The sequence below is a fragment of the Homo sapiens genome, chromosome 8, assembly GCF_000001405.40.
Source record: "Homo sapiens chromosome 8, GRCh38.p14 Primary Assembly".
NCBI classification, from domain to species: Eukaryota; Metazoa; Chordata; class Mammalia; order Primates; family Hominidae; genus Homo; species Homo sapiens.
In genome coordinates, this window is record NC_000008.11 from 23,487,801 (window position 1) to 23,510,416 (window position 22,616).

Genomic DNA, 22,616 nt, shown 5'->3' on the forward strand with positions numbered 1-22,616 from the left:
CAACTCAAATCCACCAGTTCTTCATTCCATCAGTCAGCCCTCCCAATCAGCAAGTGACCAAGGAATCCCACCATGGGCCTGGGCACTTGAGGGGACATGAAAGAAGGCCAAGCCATGGCCTCTGCCCAAGAGGAGCTGAGGAGCTGGCTGAGGAGAGAAGAAAAACACCCATAGAACAGTGAGGGAAGAAGCCAGACAGTGCTGAGATGATTTGATTTGCATTTGATGGCTACAGAGCTGGAGTCAGAGACTTAGCTTCGCACACATCCCCTGTGTGAGCGATGCCAAGCCACTGCCCTTCTCCGGATCTCAGTTTCCCTGTCTGCAAAATGAGGGGGTTGTTCTAGAAGATTGTACGTATACAAATCATACTTGCCTGTGATCAAGGGAGCATAACCCTCTTAACGGGAAAGTGGAGAAACTGAGGCCCCGGGATTAAGACTGTCCCAGAAAGTAACTGGAGCAAAGCCAGAAAAGAAAACCAAACCGAGATTTGGCCCATAGGAGAAAATCGTTGTGTTGCTAAGAATAGGACTCCACACCCAAGAGCAAGCCCTGGGAGCCCTGCGAGTTGCGGAAGAGACTCACTGACTTCTCAATGCTTTTGTGCCTGACAAAGCCCTGAGGGCGTCATCCTGGTGTGGATTTCCCTTGGTTCTTGGGCACTCAAGGAGAAGCAAATTGGTTGATTCTGATCCTTTCACTGCCAGGGTGCTGCGGGGTACCCTGGGAGCGACCAGGCTCCCATGAGCCATTTCTAAGTCATTTTCCTTAGAAACAGGAAACAGTGTTCAGGTTTGGAAGAGTGACTGAAACGAGACACTGAGAGGTTGGGGGTTGGAGGATGGGCTTCATCTGTCAGGCTGTTTTTCCTTCAAGGCAGCTGGATACAGATGCACACACAGCTCGCAGTGTGTCCTAAAGAAGGAGGCATTTGTATTGGCTACACAGAGGGGAGATCTAGAGTGGTTTTTTGCATTCTATTGTTGCAAAGTCCTGTTCTTAGCTGTATTGCCTGTTTCTTCCAGGCTGACACAGGCCTGCTGATCCAGGATGAGTGTGTTTTGAAGTTGGATGAATGTCACTGCCCCTCCTTGCCATGTTTCATAACAATAATTGGTTATGGTGCCAGCTTAAATGTGCACAGCATAAAAACCACTTCCACAACACTTCACAAACATTACCTCAACTTGTATGTAATTGGAGCAAGATGGGATATACTTCATAATGTCCATTTCACAGATAGGGACATTGAAATTCATGATTTTTTTTTCCACCAAAAAAGGTCTGTTCATGATAAAAATCTTTACCTAAATTCTATGGGTGAAGACATTCTCTATCACTTGAGGAACAGACATCCATATAGTACGGTATTGAGAAGTGAAGCCAGCTGGATTTCCTGGGTCGAGTGGGGACTTGGAGAACTTTTCTGCCTTACAAGAGGATTGTAAAATGCACCAATCAGTGCTCTGTAGCCAGCAAGAGGATTGTAAAATGCACCAATCAGCACTCTGTAAAACGCACCAATCAGTGCTCTGTAGCTAGCAAAAGGATTGTAAAATGTACCAATCAGAAGGATTCTAAAAGTAGCCACTCTCGGGGAGGATTGAGAAAAGGGCATTCTGATAGGACAGAAACGGACCATGGGAGGGGACAAATAAGAGAATAAAAGTTGGCCACCCCCCCAGCCAGCAGTGGCAACCCACTCGTGTCCCCTTCCACGCTGTGGAAGCTTTATTCTTTCACTCTTCACAATAAACCTTGCTACTGCTCACTCTTTGGGTCTGTGACATCATTAAGAGCTGTAACACTCACCGTGAAGGTCCACGGCTCCATTCTTGAAGTCAGTGAGACCACGAACCCACTGGCAGGAACCAATTCCGGACACAGTATGATACGCAGGTGACAGAGGTGAACTCAAATGACCCTTCCTGTCTTCCTAAGTCCCATGATCCCATATTATCTCTTTTCTTTCATCTTCTTTTCCCTCTTTCATCGCTTTATACCCAAAGTCATTCTCTATATGAACTTTCACTTTCCACTCCTGCTAAAGATCTGGTAGACCCAGGGCTTTCTATACCCAAAACCCTGTTCTCCTCCCAGCTTAGGACGGAAACAATAGGAGGGTGGGCTACATGCACCTTGTCTCTTATAACAGCATAAATTTATATGTGTGAGATGCTGTCAGCTTTTATAAAGTTAAAAAAAAGCTGACAAGCATGACTTCATACCTGAGATTGGGGGTGGGAAGGGCAGTCATTTCTTAAAACACTTACTGTGCCAGGTATTTTGCATAGAGTAATCCATTTATAATCTCAGGGACAGCCCCGCCCGGGAGGTTTCATTACTCCGCAGATGAGTAAAGCAACTTGCCCAAGGTCACTCAGTTAATAAGTCAGATCTGGGATTTCAAAACGGGTCCATGTATTCTTAACCACTACACCCTGCAGCCGTGGAAGAGCAGGACTCGAACTCCGGCTTCCTCACCGTTCATCCAGCACCTTTTTCACGATCAGGGCTCCCCATTCTGAAGTTTATCTTTGTGCTATCTCTAAAAGAAGGCCTTTGTCAGTGCTCACTGCAAATAAGATCAGATGAGCACTGGGGCAGGCTGAATAATGCCTCCCTCCAAAGACGGTCTCATGCTAATCCCTGGAACCTGTGTCTGTTACTTTATATGGCAATAAGGACTTGCAAGGGTGACTAAATTAAAAATCTTGAGATGGGGGACTATCCTGGATTATTTGGGTAGATTCTAAAGGTAATCACAAGGGTCTTTTTAAGAGGGAGGCAAGAAGGTGAAGGAGGAAGTAAGAGGTGTGAGAATGAAAGCAAGAGGTTGCAGTGATGGCAGTCATGGCTGGAGTCCAGGTGGCTCCGGGAACTAGGAGAAAAAGGAAACACTCTCCCCTGGAGTCCCAGGAAGCAATCATCTGGGTGGTTGATTTCTGCTCAGTGAAACTGATTTCAGACTTCCTGCCTCCAGAACTCCAGTAAGAGAATCAGTTTGTTATTTTAAGCCCCCAATTTGTGCTAATTTGTTAGGGTAGCCATAAGAAACCAATATAAGTACTAGTTACCTGCCAAGGGTATTAAACTATTTAAAGCGCTTAAATGTATCCTTTTGTATGTAAATAACGTCCAGTAATTCACTATAAGCAGAAGCCATGATTGTTCTTAGGCTGGCGCTTGGGTATTTGAATTAAAATGTATCTTGTTACTCATTAAAGCCAAAGCTATACTAGGTCAGGCTTTGCAAGCCTAATTTTTTTGTTGTTGTTGTTAAGACAGAGTCTCCCTCTGCCACCCAGGCTGGAGTGCAGTGGTGTGATCTTGGCTCCCTGCAACCTCTGCCTCCTGGGTTCAAGCAATTCTCCTGCCTCAACCTTCCGAGTGGCTGGGCCTACAGGCGAGTGCCAACGCCCGGCTAATTTTTTGTATTTTTAGTAGAGATGGGGTTTCACCATGTTGGCCAGGCTGGTCTTGAACTCGTGACCTCAGGTGATCCTCCCACCTCGGCCTCCCAAAGTTCTGGGATTACAGGTGTGAGCCACCTTGTCCGGCCTGCAAGCCTACCTTTTATTGGAAATATGAAAGTTTGGTTCATGTACAGTATTTGAAAGTAAGAAATTTAAAATCTCTATACCAAACGTCTACTAATATTCAATGTATCAGCGAAGGAAATATACTTTAATACATGCAACAAACACTAATATTCTTAGCAAAGTGGAAAAAATTCATAAATTAATTGGTATCACCTTTGTGTTCAATTCCATTCTGTTGAAGAATTATTCAGTCATATATTTCTGTCTTGAGTAGAGATGTATACATAGAAATATATATATCTTTTGGGCACATAATATAATTTATCGACTTCATATGCATTATATATATATATCACTTATCATTCTAAGTTTTGTAACAAGGCAAACTTATCAACTATTAGCTATGGGACCTGGTGTGTAGATGGAAAGAAAGTTTTTCTCATTATTCTCCCAAAAAGAGTTAGCATGTGGGTTTCAGCCTCAAAATATTTCTTGAATGTATTTGTGCTCTTTGGGTAATTTTTGTTCTTGAAAACGATGTTTACTATACATATTATTTTGTTGAAATTACCACTGACTACACAAATTACTATTTATAATAATGACTGTTTTGATTGTAAACTTTGTGCCCATGAACATGGGTATGAACAATGTATTCCAAAAATCTAATTGACACAGGCTAAGGTACAAATCATGGCTATCACTAGGTATTGATCCAATATGCCTATGAAAATTTTCACCAGACTTCATTTAATAGTTGGTTAAATGTTAGAGTACAATCAGTAGATCCTGAGAATGGTGTTTACCCTTCTTTTGCTGATGACAGGACCGCCGAGCTTTGCTGAGGCATCATGGTGGGACTTAAAGAAGTATCTTGGCCGGGCGCAGTGGCTCACACCTATAATCCCAGAACTTTGGGAGGATGAGGCAGGAGGATCAATTGAGTCACGGAGTTCAAGACCAGCCTGGGCAACAGAGTGAGACTCTGTCTCTACAACAAATTTTAAAAAAATTAGTCAGGTATGGTGACGTGCACGTATAGTCTCAGCTACTTGGGAGGCTGAGGTGGGAGGATCACTTGAGCTCGGGAGGTGGAGGTTGCAGTGAGCCATGATTGCGCCACTCACTCTAACATAGGTGACAGAGTGAGATCCCGTCTCCAAAAACAAACACAAACAAACTAAAAGAAGTATCAGCTGCTACACATCTGGAATGACAACATATGCAGAATACAAATGTAAATAGAAAACATAGAATATAAATTATGAGTTTTAGTTGAGTAACGCTGACTTGGAATTGGAAGAACATTTGCAGGCATCAGTAATGGGAGAGTAGAAAATGTGAGAAAGAAACCTTAAGTCAATTAAGAGAATACACTCTGCAAATTAGGGGTGGATCCTTGGGTTAATCTGCAGCCTGCAGTTGTACCCTGCTAGAAGCAGCTTCGATGCCACTGAAGTTAATCTTGGGTCCCAGTAAATATCTTCTCTCCTCTCTATTATCCACTGTGCAAGATATATGTAAATACTGCCAGATACATTTTTTAAAAGGCCCGGGTGCTATCGTGTATAGGTTGACATTAATGTACTCCCAGAATGCCCAGGCATGGTATGGGGTGGCCACCCTATGGTTCCTGTTTTCTTAGACGGAAGACCACTCCTGCAGAACATTTATTATCAGCCTAGGCCAGTGTGAACATACTGGGTACATTTTAGGATTCAGTTTATCTGTTTTGTTTAGGGTTGGTGCTAATTTGGAATAAGCAAACCATTCATGATCTGTATCACATAATTTGGTTTAGAATCTGTCACCTTACCTGTTGCGGTCACTCCCTCTGAATTTGGGGACCCCAAGACCAAGTTTTACTCTTCTGCTCTTTCCACCTCCAGTGCTAAGGCCTAGAGGGGCGCACCTTAAATCTGAATCAATCCACAAAGCCCGACGGACGCCAGTGGCAGGGTTTGGTGGGATTTTAATAGTAACCTACAAAAAAAGTCAGGAAGATAGGGAATAGGGACGAATTATTCTCTTCTACTCTTCAAATTTTCAGTGTTGCTCTCATTGCATATTCTCACCTTGAAATCACTGCTAGAGACTTCCCAAGTCCAAAGGGTAAGAAACTACCTTCAGACTGGCTTGGGAAATGTTTAGAGCTGCCAGGGTTGTATGTAAAATTTCCATGGCAATAAACCACTGATACATTTTTTGTTCTATTCCACCTAGGAAAAACAAAGATCCCCAAAGTCCATTTCGCTCCGAGGTCAGTGGACACAGCTCTGTGACTGTCCTGTGCTGTGTGGGTCTGTAGAAGGGCCAGTCATGGGCCATCGAGCTACTCACAGCCAACTGCACCCAAGTCCAAGCCTGGCTCTGTTCCCATACACAGAGACAGGATGGGGGCTGCTGATCTGGCCTGAAGCCTTGCTCTGGGCACTGAAAACGGGGGCTATTTCCTTACCTGAAGATCTGGAAGCAGCATGTTGACAAAAGCACCAACTGCTCTGCCATCACGTCCCACTGGGTGTCAGTGGGAAGGCCTAACCAAGGCCTGCCTCCAGTGGCTATCAGGCAGACGGGCCAGCAGTTCCCCTCCAGGAGCAAGGGACCCTTCTTACCCTTTTGATCACATTTCCCTCTCTTAAAGGGGCACTGCTGTGGGAAGGGGTCATGCCTTGGATCCTACAGTCATGGACTGTGGGTGAAACAGGGGCTCTTGACTCTTCACTTCCTAGCCATAACTCTGCCCATTGGACCACCCACCCTCCCTGCTGCTGGTCTCCTGGCTCACCCATCAAATCCAACTGCTTTATCTAGAAAATACTTTTCTCCATTCTCATTTCCCTTTGCTTTCCCACTCACCTCTGTTTTTGTTTCTGTTTTATTTTGTTCCAGACACCCTTTTCAGGGAAGTAGATCAGGGAGGCCCAAGAGATTAGGCCTGGGTGGGCTGCTATCGCTTAAGAACACGTCTGCCTCTGGGGCTCCTCCCTAACAGCTGGCCTCTGGAGCTGGGAGATGCAGCTGCCTGGCAGTCTGCAGAGGCAGATTGTGTTGTTACGTGCTGGTCACCGCCTTGAGCCTTAAACCACAGTCAGCAATGAACCTGGAGGCAGGGCATCTCTGGGGATGATCGACCGCATCTGCTCAGGTTCTTGCAGGGCAGGGCAGGCAGAGATGTGTGTTTGGAGCCAGAAAGCCTTCCTGCCAACCTGCCATGCCTCAGTTTCCCTATCTGAACCACCTTCATAAAAACAACTTACGGCTCTCAGAGCAGCACATTTGTAAAAACCTGAAAAATATAAAGAAAAACGTCACTCACATTTCTCCCATGAACATTTTCCTATTTTATGTATCTTTTATGTAACTGAATCACATTGCATATACAATTATGTGTTCCATTTTTAAACAATAAGCTTCCCTTGTTTTAAAAGTAATAATCCATGTTTATTATGTGTTATTGCATAGAAATTTCAGACACAAAAAAAGAAAGGAAAAATGACTCCTTATTGCTCCATTGAGAAATAATAAATATGAATATTATTCTGATAAATATCTTTCTGGTCTCTTTAACAAGCATAATATACCGAAAGGAAAAAAAAGCTCAGTAGATTCATACTTTACTTACTTTTTTGTAACTTTCCTTTTTCACATAACTCAGTAAGAACAATTTTTTTTTTGAGATGGGGTCTCACTCTGTTGCCAAGGCTGGAGTGCATTGGCACAGTCTCAGCTCACTGCCACCTCCGTCTCCCGGATTCAAGCAATTCTCCTGCCTCAGCCCCCCGAGCAGCTGGGATTACAGGTGTGTGCCACCACACCCGGCTAATTTTTGTATTTTTAGTAGAGACAGGGTTTCACCATGTTGGCCAGGCTGGTCTCGAACTCCTGACGTCAGGCGAGCCACCCGCCTCGGCCTACCAAAGTAATTTTTATATCATTAAGCGTTCTCTTGCCTTAATTATGATGACAGCAACATACAGATGTGCCATATCTTATTCAACCAATGTCCTATCGTTAGACCTTTGTTTTGGCTCTCAATTTTCCCCATCATACACAGGGCTCATTGTAGCTAAATCTTTTGATTCCTCCTGTCCTGCTTCTGAATCCCCTGGGGCTGTCCCATGCATAGATTATGTCCAGACTGCCCCTGACACTGTGCACAAATGTGCTTTGAGAAATATCCACTATACTATGCACATGTGAGGGGTTATCATTGTTTGTTACTTAATTCAGAGACTTAGTGGTATTGGTAGAAATGGTGTATATATTAAGCAAAGAATAACAATTTTAAACACCACTTACATGGTACTTCCTATGTGCCAGGTACTGTTCCAGGTGCCTCATGTAATTATATTTTAAATATACTTTATTTTTTAAGAGCAGTTTTAGGTTCACAGCAAAATTGAGCAGAAAGCATAAGGTTTCTATTCACTCCTGACTCCTGCACAGGCATAGTCTCCCAAACTTTCAACAGTCCCCTCCAGAGTGGTGCATTTGTTACAATCAATGAACCTTTATCAACACATCATCACCCATAGTTTACATTAGAGTTCACCCTAGGCGTACATGTTCAATGGGATTGGACAAACACATAACGACAGGTACCCACCCTGATCGTATCACACAGAGTAGTTTCAGTGCCCTAAAAATCCTCCCAGATTCACCTCTTCATCCCTCCCTCCGTCCTAACCCCTGACAACCACTGATCTTTTTGTTTGTCTTCAGAGTTTTGCCTTTTCTGGAATGTCATATAGTTGGGATCATACAGTATGTAGCCTTTGCAGATTGGCTTCTTTCACCTAATTATATGCATTTCAGTTTCTTTCATGCCTTTTCGTGGCTCGATAGCTCATTTAGTTTTGGCACCAGATAATATTCCATTGTCTGGATGTTCCACTGCTTCACATGATTTCAACGTATTTTAATCCTATGGCAACCCAATGAGGAAGCACTATTAATTAATTTAGCTTTTAGATGAGGACACTGAAGCATGGAGAGGTGAAGCATCTTACTCAAGGTCACAGACCTAGGAAGGGGTGGAGCTCAGATTCTGTTTACATCAGTCTGGCTTCAGAGTTTATGCCTCTCTTAAGTAGCCAATGCCCCTGAGAGCAAGGTACTGGGAAATGTGGGGAGGAGTGGAGCTGTAGGGTGGGTAGGCAGGAGGAAAGATTTTGGTGTTCCTGTGGAATGATGTTGTATAGAGGGCTGACCGTCATCTCAAAGGAGCTCAGCAGCCTCGAGTCTTTGTCTCAAAGATGCTGGCATGGAGGATTTAAAACTAAAGTTACTATCTTTTGGAGATGCACACTGTAGATTTAAGGATAAAGTGACATGACCTGTTTTGTTTGCTTCAAAATAGTTCTTTTGTGGGGAGCAGTAATGAATGAATGAAGTACTAGGGATATCTAATCAGCCACGAGTTGAGTTTGTTGGAACTGAGTGGTGAATATATGCAGGCTCTCTCTTCTCTTGTATTTGGCTACATTTTTCCATGCTAAAATGTTAAAATAAAAAAAAGGAGGGGAGACATATTGTACCACTGGGTAGTTTAGGAATGCCTTTTGCAGGGATATTCCAATCCAGAGTGTAAAGATTCAGAGTAGAGTAGAAAGACACACCCAACTCTACTGCAGCATTCGAAAAAGCTTTGCTAGTTTCAGTTAGTTTGGGGAAACATCCCTTAAGGGCCCAGCTTCTCCTAAGGAACTTGTGGAGTGAGCATGATAAATGCATTCATTCATTCAAGAATGGTTGTTTTTCATCTTGAGCCACAGGGTGAGCCATGAGAGATGCAGCTGAGTTTTGAGAGGTGAGACAGGTGCAGGCGAAAAGTTACCTGACAGTAAGGTAACTGCTCAGCAGTGCTCTCAAGCCATAGAGAAGGCTGAGGTGGGAAGGGAAGGGGGCTTGGAGTGCGACTGGTTCACAACTCTGCCCCCTGCCCAGGGCTTCCTGGAGTTCAGGGAGGAAAGAGAGGTAAGATGCCCAGAGCAGATCTCTTCTCCCCACTCACATCTTTGCATTGGAGAGTCATGGGCTGAGGCCCACCCAGCTGAGCCTGGGTCCCAGGCAGGATCCAGGGTGCTGACACCCTTCCCACCCCACCCATCTAGTTTTAGAACCCTGGCCTTGTGCTCCACTGCACACTTTGCAAAAGGAGACCTTCTTTCCAGCTGCATGAACCAAAGAAAGGGAGAGAAAGCACCTCTCCAACACCTTCTTGCTGCCTTATTTGTGGGCAAAAGACAAAGCAGGCCATTTTGTATTTCTTCTGTGACTGAATTTACCAGGAAGTATAGCAGTGTAAGGAGATATAGGCAATCAATTCCAAAATGATTTTTACATTCTAAAAGAGAGATTATAGAAAACAAATCCTCCCCAAAAGGTGAAGGGGGCTGGGCCCAATGACAATGAACTTGTTGAAGAAACTTCTATGTGGCTGGGGAAGATCCTGGCACTCTTAGGCCTCCCATGCTCCTCTCCTGCCAATAGAAGCTCCATGAGCTTCCACCCACCCCAATCCCCTCCTCCCTTCCACCAAAGCCAGAGTTTAATTCCTAACACAGCTCGCTGTGATCTATGCCAGGGATTGAGGGTGACAACAACAACAGCAACAACGATATTGAGATGCATAGCTCTATAAGTAAGCCTCCTTCTGGATTTCAAGCAAGGCTGATTTGCTAATATTCCTGATCTTTCCAGTCTGGAGGCAGCAGGAGAGGGCAGATCAGATGCAGCTAGGGAGGCTGCGATTTCCAATTTCTTAATCTGCCCCCTCTGCTGTGGTCTACTCAGGCCTCTAGGTCTAACGCTGGACTCACCACAGCCTCCTGCCCATGTACACAACCAGCCTGGCTGCTGACAGCATTTGCTTTGTTGGGTAGGGAGGAGCCCCCAGGGGTTAGGCTCTCTGTGCTGTGGACTAGAAAGAAGCTGCCAGGAGGGCCCTGGCTAAAGCTCTCCAGGACCCGAGGATACTAGGCGCAGAGTAACTGGGATCTTGAGTGTTAACTTCCAATTTGCATGGCTGGATATGCACATTGGCATACACAAGACAGAAATTTAAGCAGTTTAAGCTCTCACAGCTCACAACGAATCCTGAGAAACAGGAAGCAAGACTGACAAGTGGCTGAGGCACGATTATCACATGCTGTCTGCCAGTGCAGTGACTGGTGGCTGGAACAAGACACCCTAAGAGGACACATCCATGGGTTTTTTCTTGATGGGCAGCCACCCGCCTTCCCTAGGCATGGAAACTTTCACAGCACTCAAAATTACACAACCCTGATGGTTCACTTTTACATCGAAGGGGCTTTCTTTTTCTATCTTGGCTTTCAAGACTTCTCCCACTGAAACCTGTGGCTCACGCCTGTAATCCCAGCACTTTGGGAAGCTGAGGTGGGTGGATCACTTGAGGTCAGGAGCTCGAGACCAGCCTGGCCAACATGGTGAAACCTCGTCTCTACTGAAAATACAAAAATTAGCCAGGCATGGTGGCAAGCCCCTGTAATCTCAGCTACTCTGGAGGCTGAGGCAGGAGAATCAGTTAAGCCCGGGAGGTGGAGGTTGCAGTGAGCTGAGATCACATCACTGCACTCCAGCATGGGCAACAGAGCCAGACCCCATCTCAAAACAAACAAACAAACAAACAAAAAGTAGCTGGGATTTGGGATTACAGGCACCCGTGACCACACCCAGCTAATTTTTTTGTGTTGTTAGTAGTGACGGGGTTTCACCATGTTGGCCAGGCTGGTTTCAAACTCCTGACCTCAGTGATCCACCTGCCTCGGCCTCCCAAAGTGTTGGGATTACAGGCGTGAGCCACTGCAGCCGGCCAGGAGTTCATTTTTACCTATGAAATTTGGTCTCTAGTTTATGTGAAAAAGCGAAAGCTGTTTTGTTGACAAGACCAAATAGTAGCTAAAGCCCAAGTCTTTCGTCTCTGAGAGGAATGTAACCTTAGAAGCATTCATTTAAAAAATGCAAAGTAAGGGATGAGATTCTCTCAATTTACTTCACAGCTCAGATGGAATCTGGAGAATGATGTCAACTTCTGAGTTTCACCTTTAAAATAAATATTGGCTATTTTGCAAGGTTTCCATAGGAGACACCAGAGCTTGAGAGGTCTAGAACTATGTCCTAAGAAAATAAGGAATCAGGAGCAATAAGCCTTTGAAAGATAAAACTGAACAGGGAAGATAAGAGCCACCCTCAAATCAGTGAAGGCCTCTGATGATTCTAAAGGCACAATCAGGGCTAAAGTCAGGGGCAGGTGGAGGTGGGATACTGGGAGGGAGAATCTGACTTTCTAAACTAGCAAAAACTTTCTAATAATTAGAGCTATTTAAACACAAAAGAATTCAATGACATAGTGTCAGGGGTCACCTAAGGCAGTAGCCAGGCAGAGGCTGGATGGCCACCCCCAGGAGAACTGCTGGAGGGGGATTCCTGCACTGGGAGGGAGATGAACTCTAAGAATCTGGTATTCTGTAATTCTCTGAAATACAAGTTCTGTACACCATAAATGAGACCTATTTTAGAGGATATACTAAAACATGTCTGTGGCTTCTTAGAAACATTTAGAATTTATGTTTGTTTACAAAAGTGAAAAAAGAGTAAAAGTGCACAAAAACCATGAATAATTCTTCTAGGTTCCTTCGGGCATTTTAATTTCATGTGTCTTTGTGTTGCTCTTAATTTCAGATCCTGTGTTTTGTTTCACCTTTACTCATATTTTCGTTAGCTCTCATCCATGCCTTTCACTTAGAAGGTTCTAATTTGTGCCTTGGGTGGTAGGGCTTTGGAATCCACTGGAGGAGTTTCAGGTCTGGCCGTTTGTCAAATGGCTAGAGCAAGAGTCCATTAATATTGTACCTAGTTCGGTATGTATTTCCTTATACTTTTTTCTCCAACCATCATCTTCTGGTCAAGTTTGGCCTGACCAAGTTTGAGTTTAAGAAAAAAATTTTAAACTTGTTTTTGTTTTTTAAAAATTTATTTATTTATTTTTAGAGACAGGGTTTTGCTCTCTTGCCCAGGCTGGAGTGCAGTGGCTCCATCATAGCTCACTGCAGCCTTGAACTCCTGGGTTCAAGTGATCCTGGCTAAAAGAAAAATTATTAATTATATGAAAATGCTCATAATATTACAAGTAAAGAAAAAAGTAGAATTGCTAGAATGATTCTGGAAGAATGAACATGCAGGTACAACCAAACTAATGTAGAAACCAACCAAACAACCAAACAAACAAAAAACCAGAAAAGAAATAATGAGGACTTTCCATAATACCAGAAACGATATATATCATAATTCCAATAATTAACATAATGCTGGCAAAAGAATATACATCAATTAAAACAGAAGAGGAAAGCCCACAAACAGACTCAGTGCAGTATAAAATTGAAAGTCTCTGCTGGGCGTGGTGGCTCATGCCTCTAATCTTAGCACCTTGGGAAGCCAAGGCAGGAGGATTGCTTGAGCTCTTGAGTTTGAGACCAGCTTGGGTAACATAGCAAAACTCTATCTCTACAAAAATTACAAGAATTAGCCAGGTGTGTTGGCATGCGCCTGTAATTCCAGCTACTTGGGAGACTAAGGTAGGAGAGGATTGCTTGCACCTGGAGGTCAAAGCTGCCGTGAGCAGTGACCACGCCGCTGACTCCAGCCTGGGCAACAGAGCAAAATCCTGTCTCAGAAGTAAAAAAAAAAAAAAAAAAAGTCTCGTTTAAAATCACTAAGAAAAAAGATGGCTTATTTATGAAATGGTGAACTTTTTGGATAAAAAAAAGAAGTAGAGGCCCACTTTAGCCTTTAGACTAGAATAAATCTCAAAAATAAAACCATGGAAATATTGAGGAAAAGGGCAGGTGAACATTTATGTAATCTTTGGGGAAAAGGTACTAAAAAAAAACACTGAAGACAGAATCTGAAATGAAAAACATTGATATTTTTAACCAAAAAATGTCTGTATGTAAAAAACACAATAAATGTGAAGTCAACTGGCAAAGTAGAAAGGAAAATATTAATATTACCAACATACAGGGAAAAGGGTTAATATAATAGATAAGAGGCTCTTAGTAATCATAAGAGAAAGAGGAATGCCTCAGTAGAAGACAGAGCAAACCAGGTAAATAGTAAATCAACCAAGAAGAAATACAAGTGTTGCCTATAATCCCAGGACTTTGGGAGGCCCAGGCGGGCGGATCACTTGAGGCCAGGAGTTTGAGACCAGCCTGGCCAACATGGTGAAACCCCGTCTCTACTAAAAATACAAAAATTGGCCGGGCGTGGTGGTGCTTGCCTGTAATCCCAGCTACTAGGGAAGCTGAGGCATGAGAATCGCTTGAGCCTGGGAGGTGGAGATTGTAGTGATCCGGGGTCGTGCCACTGCACACTGCACTCTGGCCTGGGTGACAGAGCGAGACTGCATCTCAAAAAAAAAAAAAAAAAAAAAAAAAAAAAGAAATGCAAATATTCAGTGAACATAAGCAATTCAGCCTTGTTACTGATGAGAAATTAAAGCTATGAGAGACTATCTTCGGTCTCTACAATGGACAATGTATTTTTGTTTAATATAAGCATCTAGTCTTGGCTTCAGTTTGAGGAAGCAGACGCTGTCATGTACTGATGTGTATGTGTGAATTGACGCAATCTTTTTGGAGGTACATTTGGCAACATAGCTCAGAAACAGAAAATATTCAGACTCTTTCACAAATGAAGTCCACTTATGGGAAATGTTTTTCCAAAGAAATAATTAGGGCTGTGTGTCAGGGTTTAGCTGTAAGAATGCTTGCTACAGTATCGCTTTTAATGAGTGGAAACTGGAACTAATCTAAATGTCTAAGAGTATTGATGGGTTCCATAAATTTTGCCATGTCCATAAACTGTAGTACTGTGCAGTATTAAAAATGTCATGGAGGAATATTTAACGGAACGATGTTCATGTTGTTGGAATGACTGTCATTTATTTGATGTTGTTTTATTTGATTTTTTAAAATGGTGTACACTTTCAGTAAAAGAAATTGAGACTAAGTCTAGAATGTTAAAGAACTGAAGCAAATTTGGGGCTCCCGAGTGCCTTGGTTTCTCCTTGATCTACCCCCTAAGCACTCAGCTTTTGGCCTGGGGAACTTCTCTAGACAAGCATTGGGTTTTGTGGGCTCTGTGACAGTGTAAAGGCCCACTAGTGCTGGAAGAATTGGTTGAGGCGTGCAGTATGGCAGCTGGTGGCATTCCTGGGAACTGATCACTATCAGATGGCTTCTGTTCCAGCTCCTCTAGACCTGGCACTGTGCAAGGTACTGAACTGTGAATCAAGTCCAATACAATTGCGATCCCACCCTCTGGTTTCCAATAAACATAAGTTCCAGGCACAGGTGCCCAAGAGCTGGCCAATAACACCATGGTATTGAGAAACTCTCAGTCTTTTGGAACAGGCTCTGTTTTCTTCTCCGCTTCTCTTCCCTATTTCCCTCCCCTGTCCTCCCCATCCCCCACCTACAGATAGGCCTGAAACCAATACAGTTTTCAAGAGGAGAGCCTTTTTTTTTAAGAAAAAAAAAAAAAAAAGTTTAAAATTAAGAAATCAAAGACCAGGTGCGGTGGCTCATGCCTCTAATCCCAGTACTTTGGGAGGCCGAGGCAGGCGGATCACGAGGTCAAGAGATCAAGACCATCCTGACCAACATGGTGAAACCCCATCTCTACTAAAAAAAAATACAAAAAAAAGAAAAAAAAAAAAACTACTCGGGAGGCTGAGGCAGGAGAATTGTTTGAACTTGGGAGGCAGAGGTTGCAGTGAGCTGAGATCATGCCACTATGCTCCAGCTTGGGTGACAGAGTGAGATTCTGTCTCAAAAAAAAAAAAAAATTAAGAAATCAAATTTAAGTATAGGACCTTGAAAGGGATCATGTATGTAAGGGGTCTGAGCTTAAGCTTCATATGCTTCATGGTAAATCTACCTCTAATTCTGACTTTGGTTTCTCTCATTTGCATGAATTTTCTTTTAGGTTTTTTTTTTTTTTTTTTTTTGCATATTTCTTTCGTTTTTTCTTTTGAGACAGATTCTCACTCTGTTGTGCAGGTTGGAGTGCAGTGGCATGATCTTGGCTCACTGCAACCTCTGCCTCCTGGGTTCAAGCGATTCTCCTGCCTCACCCTCCCAACTAGGTGGGACTACAGGCGTGCGCCACCACACCCAGCTAATTTTTGTGTTTTTAGTAGAGACGGGGGTTTTTACCATGTTGCCCGGGCTAGTCTCAAACTTCTCAAGTGATCCGCCCACCTCAGCCTCCCAAAGTGCTGGGATTACAGGCATGAGCCACTGTGCCCAGCCCGCATATATATTTCTAAACTGTGTGAAATATTGCCTTACAGATTTTAAACCAGTATGTAAATGGCACCCTGACATTTTAACACAATTTGTTTTTTACACTCAATTCTTTACTTGGGAAATATATCCATGTTGATATACTAAGATTTGGTTTCTTTTCATTGCTATGTAATATTCCATTGTGTGACTACCAGAATCACTCTATTCTCCTGTTGCAGTTTTTCAGTAAAAATAGCAGGTTATAAGACAGAAGCAGGATGTAAACACACACACACATTTTCGTGCTGTAGGGCAGTTAAATTAGCCCCATTTTGTTGTAATATTAGAATAGAATTAGGTCAATAAAACATTATTCCAAAAAAAAAAATCCAGAAACAACACTACAAAAATGGAATGTGATGCAGGCAACGTTTCGAATCAGTGAGGGAATATGGACTATTTAATAAATGGTATTGGCCGGGTGTGGTGGCTCATGCCTGTAATCCCAGCACTTTGGGAGACTGAGGCGGGTGGATTACCTGAGGTCGGGGGTTCAAGACCAGCCTGGCCAACATGGTGAAACCCCATCTCTACTAAAAATACAAAAATTAGTCTGGCATGGTGGCAGGCGCCTGTAATCCCAGCTACTCGGGAGGCTGAGGCAGGATCATCACTTGAGCCCGGGAGGCGGAGGTTGCAGTGAGCCGAGATCACGCCATTACACTCCAGCCTGGGCAACAGATTGAGACTCCGTCTCCAAAAAAATAAAAATAAAAATAAATAAATAAATAAATAAATAAATAAGTGGTATTGACAGAATCAACTCTGTGTACACAAAATAAATAAAACTAAGTCGCTACCTTATGTGGTACACAAAATTATACTACAGATGAATTAAAAACCTAGCCCTTCAATATAAAAATTTCAAATTGTTAGCTAAAAATGTATAAGAAAATACTATGATCCCAAGTAAATGGAGATCTTAAATAAGTCACAGAAAATAAAACTCATGCAGTAAAAGGCTGAACATTTTAATTAGGTCAGTGAATAAATGTCATCCAAATAGTAAAAAAGGAACCATACAATAAGATACCCCAATGTTAAAGACAAGCTGAGGGCTGGGAGAAAACTTTGCAATGTATGTTTCAAAGAATGAGTAAAACAGATGAATTTTTAAAAAAGCCCTTTAGAAAAATGATCTAAGGGATGGGCACAGTGGCTTACACCAGTAATCCCAGCACTTTGGGAGGCCGAGGCTGGTGGATCACCTGAGGTAAGGAGTTCAAGACTAGCCTGACCAACATGGTGAAACCCTGTCTCTACTAAAAATACAAAAATTAGCTGGGCGTAGTGGTGGGCACCTGTAATCCCAGCTACTCGGGAGGCTGAGGCACGAGAATTGCATGAACCTGGGAGGCGGAGGTTGCAATGAGTGGAGATCTCACCATTGTACTTCACCCTGGGCAATGGATCGAGACTCCGTCTCAAAAAAAAAAAAAAGAAGAAGAAAGAAAAATGATCTGTGGATATGCATAGGCAATTCACAAAAGGGGAAATACACATGGCCACAAACACATAAGAAGATGCTCAAACACATTTTTTATCAGGCAAATACCAATGAAAACAATGGCGAGATACTGTTTACACTTACTCAGCTGGCTACCTTGAAAGATCTGGTAGGTGAAGGGTTGTCAAGATCGCAGGGGAACAGGAACGTTCATACTCTGTTTTCATATTTAAAATGGCGAGGACAATTTGGGCATACCTCAGACCCACAATTTCCTCTCACAGGAATTTAGAATAGAGAAAGGGAAAACACAGACGTTTACTGCAGTGTTGTTTGTAGTAGTGAAAAGTTGTTAATGATATTAACTGTCCGCTAAAAGCTTAAGAGGTCAAATAAAATATGGTATATCCATATAATGGAATGTTATTCAACACACAAAAATCCTTATATATATTATTTATATGTGAAATTATATATGTGTATACATATATATACATGAATGCATATGAAATTCTGGAAGGAAACACTTCAAACTCCCAAGAGCGGTTGGGCACCAGAATAGCAGGGAAGGGTTTGGAACTGTGGGAGGTGGTCAATGGGTAATTTAGTTTTGTATATGATGCCTGCTTTTGTTTAAAAGGGGCATGTATTTGTGTATCTCTTTTTCAATCAAAAATAATTTAAAATATAAAAGACTGGAAGGATGCATTGTACGTTCACAGTCCTATCTCTTGGGAACGAAATTATCAGTGACTTTTAGCTTGTTCTTTTTTCTTATCTGCATTTTCTAAAATTTCCACAATGTTTGTCTACCACATTTGTAATAAGAAAACTGTTATTTTTTAAGGATTATGGAAAGTTTAAAAAATTCTCAAAAAGTTAGTTTTAGGTTATCTTAAATATACTACCACTCTCTCCTCCATCACTTAGATAAACAGCACTGTATTTGGGAGGGGTGGCCGGTTTTTTATTTTTTTGAAGTTTGAGACAAGGTCTTGCTCTGTCACCTAGGCTGGAGTGCAGAGGCACAATCATGGCTCACTGCAGCATGGACCTCCCAGGCTTAAGAGATCCTCTCATCTCAGCCTCCCAAGTAGCTAGGACCGCAGGCATGCACCACCACTCCCAGCTAATATTTATTTTTGATTTTGGTAGAGATGGAGTCTCCCTCGGTAGCCCAGGCTGGGCTCAAACTTCTGAGCTCAAGCAATCCTCCTGCCTGGGCCTCCCAAAGTGTTGGGATTACAGGTGTGAGCCACTGTGCCTGGCTTGTGTGGCAGCTTTTATTGCAAAATTAGATAACTCCCCAAACTTTGGAAGTATTTTTTTAAAAAGCTTCCAAGATTCACTTAGCCAAGGCTGCTCACGGGGTTTAAGTAAATGGCTCTTCCACTTTTCACTGATGTTCTATTAACCAGCATACTCCAAGGATTTGACTCACTGACAATAAATATTTAACTCCAGTTAAGCATAGCTACTTTCTGGAAATGTGTCTTCTTAGATAGCTGAGGGTTTATCCTTTTAAATTCTTTAAAATTTTTACGTTGTAATAATTTCTAGAATATTTTACCTACTTTCCTGCCTCTGAACACAGAGCATCTAGTTCTAGCCTTCTCAGCCTTGCCATTTCTGAAGGCTGTCATGTATTTATACTGTCAGTATCTGCCTTCAAGCACCATTTTTTTCTTCCAATTCACCGTGGGTTTAGAAATTAACTTTTTGGGTTTGTTTATACAATAATCAGCATGACAGCTCATACCAGAGGATTCCCTAAGATCAAAGAACACACAGACTTTACGAAATCTATTTTGGCTGTTTCCCAGCCCTTTTTGTTTGTTTGTTTTACTGCTTTCTGATTTTCAGTGGTGTTCTGAAGTGCTGGCTTCAAGTTTGGGAGGCAGTAGAGGGTAGAGAGGAAAGAACAGCTTCATTCCTTGCTAAACTGTGATCTCTCTAAGGTCAAAAGTTGTGCCATGACCCCAAGGCTCTTGTTAAAGAAATTAGATGCCAATAGATGAAATGTGAGAATAGCGCTATATTGAAACAGAAACTGGAGTCATACAGTATCTTCTATAAGATTTTGTGATTTTATACAAGAATTCCCCAAGACAGATCAGGTGATTATTAATAACCCCTGAAAGTCACAACTCTATGCAGCTGAGAAGGTAGGAGCCCAGGGAGGTGTGTGCAGAGCTGAGGCTGTCATCATAGACCTATTCTTTGCAAAATCTGAAGGGGGAGGGAAGGGAGAATGTAAAACTGGGCTGCAAAGCTCAAGTCTCACAAATAAGGACTTTTCTTATTTGTATGTCACTTCATACTGCGATAACCAGGCAGTAACATCATGGGTGGTGATTCACAACTGAGTTCCAAGCCTCTGAGTCCAGGAAGTTATGGCTTATTAGATGTTATCACTTCACTGGGAGGGGATGATGATCAGATGTAATAAAAACACAAAGGATGAAGATTCCAAATTCCTTTAAGAAGGAGAGCTTTCCTTCTCAAGAGTGCAGGGCCTGGGCAAATTGCTCCTATGGCAGGTACATGCAACAAAAGCTCAGAGCAAAATAGTAAAGAAAAAGGGGTTGGCCTGTTTATAGGTCTCCTCCAGGGTCCGCCATTCATTCTGACAGATGACAGCTCCTCATGAGTCAATGTTATGCAGGAGACTCGAGGACGAAGCACAGGAGTTCGGGAGAGATGAGCTGTCCATGTCTCTGAGCTTTTCCATCACTCTGTGCCTCAATGTCCCTTCAATAAGGCAAGTTTCACCCTTTGCTCTGCAGGAAGGCAGAAATAAATGACTGTGCTCGAGGAAGTACTTAGAGTCAGCAGGGGGTTGTGTGAGATCAGAGTATAGCCTTGTCTCCCCTAAAAGGCCTAATCCTGAATGGGGGAGTCAGGTGACCATCCTCTTTGGGGTATAGTTCATTCTGGTGCTTGACTTCCACCATAGGAGATTTGGAACACCCATTGCGAGGGCATTCAGAATGTGCTTGAACTCCTGGAATATTGGTCCTGGAAAGGGCCTTAAGGTTCAGTTCCCTCATTTTCTAGACACAGAAATGGCGGCCCAGAGAGGTGGAGGAATTTATTTAAGATCACACAGCTATTCCCAAATCCAAGCCTGCAGATCATAAGCCTGGTACTCTCTCTACAGACTTTCTCAAAGTGGGGTCCCCTGATACTGCACCTCAGAATCACCTGGTGTGCGTATGCGCGTAAGGGAGATGTTGGTAGTGGTGAAGAGAGTTGCTAAAAATGCGAATTCCTGGGTCCTACCTTAGACCTACAGAATCAGAATCTCTGGGAGTGGTCCCTGGGAATCTGTATTTTAGCATCAAGTGACTCTTAAGCTAGTCCTGCTTTATTTCAGCAACACCTGGAAGTGCTGGCTTCTAAATGATCTATGCAGCATAGCTATCGTTGATGAAACGTCTCCTAGAGAACATAAAAAGAGCATATCCTATTAGTAGCCACTGGACAATGCCATGTCCTCGATTGTTTACAGTGTATGATAATTAGTTTAATGTCCTATAAGCCAAAATCATACCAGACAATGTTTTGAACAATCAAAGCAAGCTGGAGAAACAAACATACCTCATATTGGCCCTTTAAGAGCCTCGGTTCCCCTGGGTTCTAATGAGGGTGTGTGCTGGGGACAGGTCACTCCCAGCTTATCCTACCATACCCACCACCTCTCTGAGAGATCTCGCTCCGTACATGCGGCTCTGGCCTGAGAGCAGATGGTTTCCGATATAGGACTGAACCCGCCCTCTCTCTAATCAACCAGAAAGGACCTGGCAAGTCAGTGGGAGATAAATATAGCTGAGCTCTCCTGGGAGGAGCCCCCAGGAGGGTTAAATATGGTATGTGAGCAAATGATGAACAGATCAGCGCTTCCTCCTACTGTCCCCCGAAGGTCGTTTTCACAACAGGATCAGCTGCACAACACTCACAAAACAGAAATGGACTCAAAGATAGAAACTCCAAAACCGGCTGGATTCCTGTTACTCCATAACAGCTGGCCCCTCAGGGAGGACTTGCCTCTTGGGTGGCCGTGTACCTGATTCTCCCACCTGCCTTGCAGCTTGTCCTTGCCTGCCTCCAGAGGCTTCCGTGGAGTCAGAGCCTTTGAGGCCCTCTCTTGCTCTTATGTCCAGGTAACATGGAGCAAAGATAGAGCTGAATTTTAAGAACCGCCCTGTCAGGGGAAACCACTCATTAAAGTCAAACTCCTTGGCCGCAAAACCGCAGGTGGGGGTAGAACAGGACCACAGAGGTTGCCTTCATCCTGCACGTATTTACTTTTTTCAAAGGTCATCTTTTGGCTTGAGAAGAGGAAGGAAAGCACTGTTATTTTAATTTCTCTAAAAGTTACAGTAGAAAGCAAAACCAGAGGCACCAAAAAAGCAATTCCCAAAACTCAGCTCAGTGCCCTCCAACACAAAGTGTTCAGATAACATTTCTCCAATAAATAAGCCGCTCTGGGGGTGCAGCCACTGAGGCAGGGCCGCTTCCTGCTGGGTAGCATGGGTGGCCTTTGGTGACTGCCCACACATTGTGCAGGGTGTGGACCAAACAGACTCAGAACTCTGCTTTTGTTGGTGCCCTGAGAGTACTTTGATCTCTCAGGGCCTGGTTCATATTTATCAAACTCTGAAGATTAATGTACGGAACTAGAGTTCCAACCTGTTCGTGAATTTACAGTGAGGAATAAATAACCGGGCTCCAGAGCCTGGACACATTCCCTCTCTAAAGGGAAAGCATTGTAGAAACCAAAGCGTGGCCTAGATGGTTACCTGATGAGCACAAAGCCACACTCAGGGAAAACTAGATAAATCAGGCGTTTCGCAGCATCAGTATAAACAGTAGGGCATTACACACCTGTCCAACCAAAGGCCACAGGATACTGGCATGCCACCTGTGCTCACAAGCCCTGTGTGTCCCAGCTCCAGGAGGCTGTCAGCAGATGGGACCTCTGGGCCTTGCTAGGGCTGTGTCCTTTCCGATCTCTGTGGGGACAGGCACTGCTGAAGTCTCTAGGTGTGACTCTCCTTTTACTCCCAGACTTCAAGACTCTTTTTCACGTACCCATTTTTATTTCCTTCTCTAATGAAGCATTGCTACTTGCAATCCATTATCAGTCAGACTTCATGCGCCTGAGTATCCTCCTCTCTCTTTGAGGTGGCTATGCAGCTCCGATGTACTCTATGCAAACTCTCAGCTTTGACCGTCAGAGGAAAGCCA

General features: G+C 43.3%; 2 long non-coding RNA genes across 4 annotated transcripts in view, besides 2 other annotated features; one reads left to right on the forward strand and one right to left on the reverse strand.

Moving 5' to 3' along the window:
* Positions 1-7,095, forward strand: part of ENTPD4-DT (ENTPD4 divergent transcript) — a 37,125-nt gene extending 30,030 nt beyond the window's left edge. For 2 of the 3 annotated variants that reach the window (NR_186531.1, NR_186533.1), the window contains 2 exons: positions 4,372-4,565; positions 5,769-7,095. This is a non-coding gene — a long non-coding RNA (ENTPD4 divergent transcript). The remainder of the gene's footprint in view (positions 1-4,371; positions 4,566-5,768) is intronic. The other variant, NR_186532.1, reaches the window with a different exon arrangement.
* LOC105379327 (uncharacterized) lies at positions 3,677-6,402 on the reverse strand. Its single transcript, NR_188142.1, has 3 exons — positions 6,004-6,402; positions 5,362-5,528; positions 3,677-4,536 (listed from the first exon to the last, which is right to left on the reverse strand). It is a non-coding gene; the product is annotated as an uncharacterized LOC105379327 (long non-coding RNA).
* Positions 20,823-21,679: a transcriptional cis regulatory region, noted in NCBI's record as "candidate enhancer chr8.847 targeted for multiplex CRISPR interference". NCBI's record gives its function as "positively regulates SLC25A37 gene expression with high confidence in K562 cells {active_cell/tissue: K562}" and the evidence as "EXISTENCE:mutant phenotype evidence [ECO:0000015][PMID:30612741]".
* Positions 21,207-21,436: an enhancer, noted in NCBI's record as "active region_27118". NCBI's record gives its function as "activates an Ori minimal core promoter by ATAC-STARR-seq in GM12878 lymphoblastoid cells {active_cell/tissue: GM12878}" and the evidence as "EXISTENCE:reporter gene assay evidence [ECO:0000049][PMID:35858748]".